This window comes from Homo sapiens, chromosome 1, assembly GCF_000001405.40.
Source record: "Homo sapiens chromosome 1, GRCh38.p14 Primary Assembly".
NCBI classification, from domain to species: Eukaryota; Metazoa; Chordata; class Mammalia; order Primates; family Hominidae; genus Homo; species Homo sapiens.
In genome coordinates, this window is record NC_000001.11 from 47,992,618 (window position 1) to 47,998,617 (window position 6,000).

General features: G+C 57.5%; 1 protein-coding gene across 10 annotated transcripts in view, besides 1 other annotated feature; it reads right to left on the minus strand.

Annotated features, from left to right (window-relative positions):
- TRABD2B (TraB domain containing 2B) overlaps nucleotides 1–4,768 on the minus strand; it is a 236,858-nt gene extending 232,090 nt beyond the window's left edge. For all 10 annotated transcript variants that reach the window (XM_024446935.2, XM_024446933.2, XM_017001262.3 and 7 more), the window contains exons 1-2: nucleotides 4,071–4,768; nucleotides 1,417–1,980 (exon numbers count right to left, since the gene is read on the minus strand). In XM_024446935.2, coding sequence (XP_024302703.1) covers nucleotides 1,417–1,980; nucleotides 4,071–4,172 — 666 coding nt within the window. In that variant the 5' untranslated portion in view covers nucleotides 4,173–4,768. The remainder of the gene's footprint in view (nucleotides 1–1,416; nucleotides 1,981–4,070) is intronic.
- Nucleotides 5,260–5,309: an enhancer, noted in NCBI's record as "active region_1009". NCBI's record gives its function as "activates an Ori minimal core promoter by ATAC-STARR-seq in GM12878 lymphoblastoid cells {active_cell/tissue: GM12878}" and the evidence as "EXISTENCE:reporter gene assay evidence [ECO:0000049][PMID:35858748]".

Below are 6,000 nucleotides of genomic sequence, written 5' to 3' on the forward strand. Positions count from 1 at the left end.
CGGTGAGCGCCGGGGGTCCCGACACAGATAATATCAGCTCCCGAGGCTGGCAAGGGAAAAGTCACTTCAGAGGGAGAAAGCGGCTATGTTCAGAGGAATCAGCACTGGGCCATAGAATACACAGGATTTTCCCCCGTGGAGAAGGAGTCAGGCGTAGTCAGAACCCTGCAGGGCGTGACTAACTGCCCCAATACTCCTGCCACTGGGGCCCTCTGGGTAAGGACTCCACAATTATGGGAGAGCCAGCAGGAGAACCGACAAACCCGCCTTTCATTTGGCCGGCAAATCAATCTGGCTTCTTACCTCCCCAGGGACAATATTGCATTTCCCTTGGAAAAACAAAGGCCAGAGATCTTGGAAAGGGGATCAGTTTCTGCCGCTGTTTCCCTGGTGAAGAGCTTGCAACATCTCCGGAGGAGCAAGCAGGTCTGATTCCAATGGTAGTTTCTGGTCCAGCCAATTTATGAGGCTGTCTCCTTAATGGGCAGCACGTCTCTGAGCCATGCCTCACTCAGGAAATTGACCCAAGCCCCATCTTGGGGCCTCCTTGAAGGAGTCCCCATCCTGGGATTGACAGCCCCGTTCTCAAGGCACAGATGTGAACTCATTGTTCCCAGGGTCTCAGAGTTGAGTTTGGGGCCAGTGAGTAGCAAGTGACCTCTGCCCATGGAGAAGGGGCTTTTAATGACATTTTGCTCTATCAGATCTCTGGCAGCCAGAGACTTTAAACCTCTTAAGCCCCTCCCTTCTCTCCTACTTCTGAGGTTCAGAAATCAGGACTGTCAACCTTTAAGCGAACACGCTTCTCTGAAATTATTAACCTTAAAACTCTCCTGGCTGACTTTCTCCTGGCCTTAGCGAGGCGGTCCGAGGGTCACCTAGAGCTTTGCACAGAGCCGGGAAACTGATGGTGCTTAACCTCAAATGGCAAGCAGCACTCTACTGTCGCCAGGTCCCAGGCAACTCCTTGTTGGCTCAGCCCTGGGAGCCATGCCTTCCTCTTACTTTCTTGGGCACTGTCCACACACCAGCCTCAATACAGCCTCCAGGGCCTCAGGAAGGCCTGACACAAACCGGAAGCCCCCTCTTTTTGTTTTTGATCACTCTGATGCTCTGAGGGAAATTCTTTCTGCCCAGGCAAGCACAGCAGGTGAGGAGTGTACATCCCCAACATGTAATACTGCTGAAATAGAAGCAAACACGCAGACTCTTACCCCAAATTCCAGTATACGCCACTCTCAACTGATACCACCAGAGCAGCCAGGTGCTGCCTCGCTGCCCAGCAGAACCTCTCCTTCCAGAAAAAGGACCTGACTCTGGCTGCCTCCCCCTCCCCCTCGGAGAAGAAAGACAATCAGAGAAGAGGACCCAGGTACCCAGGGCTGTCAGCTCCGGGCTGGGGCACTGCATGCCTACCTGGGAGAAGTTGAGCCCGTTGTTGAGGGGATGGCACTGCTCCTCCACCTGCTCCACAGCCCCTGTGGTCTTCTTCATCTTCTCAGCCTGCTGGGCCAGGTAGAGGTCGAGCACGGGCACACCACGGAAGCGCACGTCCCTCTCTGTGAGCGAGTTTACCATGAGCATCACCCAGACGGGCCTCTTGCGCTCCCAGTTGCCCGCGATGGCATTGAATAGGTAGTCAGCATAGAGCCCCTTGCCCCGCTGAGCGGGCGTCATCCAGGAGGGCATCATCAACTTCACGTAGTCCAGGTGGCGCTTCAAGCGCCAGTAAAGCTCGTGGGGCAGCACGTCCTGCAGGTTTTCCCCGTGCGGCAGCAGCTGGCAGCTGGCCAGGGCCGAGATGGTGTAGGGGTCTGTAAGGTCCAGCTCAAAGTAGACACGGGTGCTAGCCTGGAAGGCTGCCTTGGAGTTGTCCGGGATGAAGTCCCAGACGCGGGTGTAGGGGACGTGAATAGTGCCAAACAGGTAGGCCGGAGGATCACGCCGAATCGTCCACAGGAAGGAGTTCAAGTCCCTCTGCTGCAGGAGTAGAGAAGAGGCAAGGCAGTGAGGCCGAAGGCAACAGAGTAGAGTCAGGGTAGCCCAGAGGCACGTTGCAGAGGGAGGTGGGGATGGGAGGCAGAGACCATACACAGGCCGTGGTAAAGAGCCAGGTCTTTGGAGCCTGAAAGACCCACATTGAAAACCTAGCTTTGCCCTGTCTTAGATGTATGATCTTGAGTGAATCATTTCACTTCCACAGGCTCAGTTTCCTCATCTGTAAAATGGGGGTGAAAGCAACTACCTCGGGTTGTTGGGAGGATTAAAAGATACAATATATGTATATTAAGCCCTCAGAGCAGTGCCAGGTACAGAGGAAGTCAGCAATGAAGGGAAACTCTCATGATTAGCGTTCCCTGTGAGTGCCAAGGACTGCCACACCACCTGAGAATATTCATGCTTGGCCAAGTCAAACCTTCACCGGTGGTGTTTCATGCGGAGGGTGGGGAAAGGAGGACCAAGAGTCCTGCTCTGGCAAGAAGGGAGGAAGTCATATAACTTTTAAATCCAACCATTAGAAGATATAAGCCAAGAGCACTTTGAAAGCAGAACACCTATTAAAAATAGCACACCTATTTAAACAGCTACTTCACATTCATCACGGTGAATACACTTTTCTTTTTGGAGGGCAGGTCTGGGGTGTCAGCTACTTTGCTCGACCAGCTGAGACCATAGATGAGAAAGTGCTTTAAAATCTTGCAAGGCCAAGTCAAGTTTCAGAATCTGGTTTGGGAGGAAAGGATTCCATTACAATTAGTCCCAAGAAATGTACATATTCTGGGTACTTTCCAGGCTCCTCCCCTAAAAATGTATACCTGATTTCCAACCCCAGTTGTTTGTCATTTTCTATGACCTAAGCTCCGACTTAGGGGAGTGTGTGTGCGTGTGTGTGTGTGTGTGTGCGCGTGTGTGTGTATGTAGGAGCTGAAGAGAGGCATGCAGACAGGGGTCCTTTCTACAGATCCAAGTCAGGGCTAGGCATAAAGGGCAAAGCCATTTTCCAACCAGAAAAATCCCTGGAGTGCCCACTGACCACTTGCAAGCTTTAGACCAACTCATAACACTTTTCTGCCTGATTCTGGCACAAATGAAAAGTATGTGTTGGGATGGGTGGGTTGTGGGAGAACAGTACCTTACTTTACTAACAACCCCAAACTGTTAATCCCAGCATGTTGGCGATAGACTGAGAGCCCAGTCAGCCAACGAGCTCCCTGTTTGTGCACAAGGCAGGCTGCTGGAGGTGCACCTTGCCCAAGGTCAGCGAATTCCGGGCTAACAGGCAGCACACCTACAGCAGCCAGACCCTATGGTCTCCTGGCCTCCAATTCAGGGTTACTGTCAATGCATTAATTTACACTTAGAGGGAAAGATACTGAAGGAAATAAAGAGGTTCTTTGTTTTGGAAGGAATATTAGGAGAACCAGTAATTACTCGACCCCAAGAAATATTAGGCCAGTATGTCCTGGCATTGCCTTTTCCTCTCCTCTGAAATCTTCCCTCTTTTCACGAAATATGGACGCTTGGGAGAGTAGGTGGTGGGAGCCTGGGCCGCAGAGATGGAGGTGAGAACGAGGAACAGGGAGAAAGTTTGTCTTAGGTCAGAGTGGGAGGGCAGGGAGAGAGAGGGAAGCCTGGGAGGGGGCAGAGTGTGTGAATGGGAGAGCAAAAGGGTTCGATGGAAGTCAAGAGAAGGGCAAGGAACGGTAGAAAAACACAGTCAGAAGCGGGCAGAGAGACCAGAAGGGTAAAGACAGAAAAAATATGAGAAAGGAGAGACAAAAAGGGGCAGAGAGAGAGGAGGCGTCCAAGCAGGACCACAAGTCAAGAGGAGAGCCCCAGAGCGGCAGCGTGTGGAGAAGGAACCGGAGAGGGAGCGCCCCTTCTCGCTCCTGGCTGGGAGCTGGAGCCGGGACAGGCAGGAGCGAAGGAAGGGCGCCCGAGGCTGCGCCCGGGGGGTGGAGGTGGAGCGGGCGGGCTAAGGTGGGTGCGGAAGCAGGACCCAAACCATGGTCCCACGGGACTAGAATACCCAGGCAGGCGGGAGAGTGGCCGGGCAGGCGCTCGCTCACCGATCCGGGCGGCCGGCACTGTCCTCCGTCCGGGGGCTGCGGGCGGGCGCGAGCGGTGGCGAGGAGGGCGGCGAGCAGCGGCCCCGCCAGGGCGGCGTGCATCCTGCCAGGGCCCGCGGGGCGCGGGGGACCCTCCTGGGCGGCGCCCCTCAGCGGGGCGGGGAGCCCCCAGTTGGGCACGGAGTTTCCTCTGGAGCACGGGGCTCCAGCCGCAGGATGCTGGGCGCCCTCTGGGGCGTGGCTGACTGTCCCTGTCGGACCTGGGGGTTTCTCTGGGGCCGGGCTCCGTCTGTTGGAAGAGGGAGACCCTCTAGGGCTGGGCCCCTCCCCCGGGCGCTCAACCTCGCTGGCCGAGCCCCCGGGTGCTGAGGGCGTGTTGGGGTCCGGGGGCGCGCGGGGTCCCGGAGCTGCGTCGCGGTCCAGGGGCGCGCGGGGTTCCTGGGGCAGAACCGAGAACCCGGGGTGCGCAAGGGTCCCGGGGTTATGCTGGGCACCCGGGGCACGCAAGGGTCCCAGGGGTGCGCGGCGCTCCAGGAGGCGCGCAGTGGGACAAGTGCGGCGGAAGGCGCGGCAGGGGTGGGGGGCGGCTCTGGGGCGACCGGCTGCCCCCGAGCCCGGCTCAGAGGGGCGGCGGGCGGCCGCGCGGCCGCTGCCCGGGCTCCGCCATGCTGCTCCGCGGCCGGGAGGGAGGGAGAGAGGAGGGCGGGAGAGCGGCGCGGAGCCGGGCCGGGCTGGGGGCTGGGGCCGCTGGGGCGGGGGAGGGGAGGACCTGGCGCGGGGGGCGGGGGGGCGAGGGGCCGGGGCCGCGCCGGGCCGGGCCGGGACGGGCCGGGCGGCAGGGAGTCAGGGCTAGCTCCGCGCCCGGGCGCGGCGAGGCGGGGTCTGATGGGCATGGCAGGCGCTCGCTCGCTCCTCTCTCGCTCCCTCGTTCGCTCCCTCACACGCGCGGAGGGAGGCGAAGCCCGCAGCAGCCACTTCCCAACTTTCCAAACTTCCCAGCGCAACTTTTTCCTCCCCTCCCCTGCCCGCGCCTCCTCCTCCCCCATCCCTCCTCCTTCCCTTCGCCAGGCGCGACCGGGCCGCAGCTTCCCCGTGCGGCCGCCAGAGGGCGCCCGGGCTAAGGACCCGCTCGGCCAACCTCCGCCGGCTCGGCGGCGGACGCGGACTGGTGGCAGCGACAGATTTGGGGACCAGCCTCGCCCAACGCATCCGTCCCGCAGATCCTGGCAGGAGCGAACAGCGAGAGGGACAGGAGTTGGACTGGGGAGGCAGCAATCACACAAAATTCAGAAAGCTGCTGTGTGCAACCTTATGTCACGCGTAGCTCTGGGATGCGCTTGGTAGATGCTCTGCAAACACCAAATGTAAAAGAAAAGAAAAGAAATCCTCAAAATTCCTTGGAATCTTCCATTTAAGTAATCCCCTCTTATCTATGTCCTTGGACCCACGCAGGATCCCTGTGTCTGTCTCTGGAAGAGTGAGAATTGATATCCCAGTTTCTTAGACCACAAGACTTGAAAGACCCCTTAAACCAACCTACCCTTCCTCAAGAGGCAAATGAGACTTAGAGAAGGCCAGAGCACAAGATCTAAGCTTCTGAGCCGTTTCCAGCAAATGAAGAAAGGGAGGCACAGGCACCCCTGCTTGGTTCTGTTAAAGGAGAGTTTGTCGTCTCTTCCTATCCTGACAACAAAGATTGACAGATGAATTAGGTCATACTGTCAGGAGCCCACAGCCTAGAGAAGGAGACAGACAGAGACAGATATGCAAAGACGCCATTAAAATACAGATGATGAGGGCCAGGAGAGACAGAAGCACAAGGAAATGGGAGCAGAGAGGAAGAGCTCCTAACACAGCTCAGAGGCCCAGGGAAGACGCCTGGGAGATGGTCTTGAAAAATAAGTCAGAGGTAGCTTAGAGAAGGAGGTGC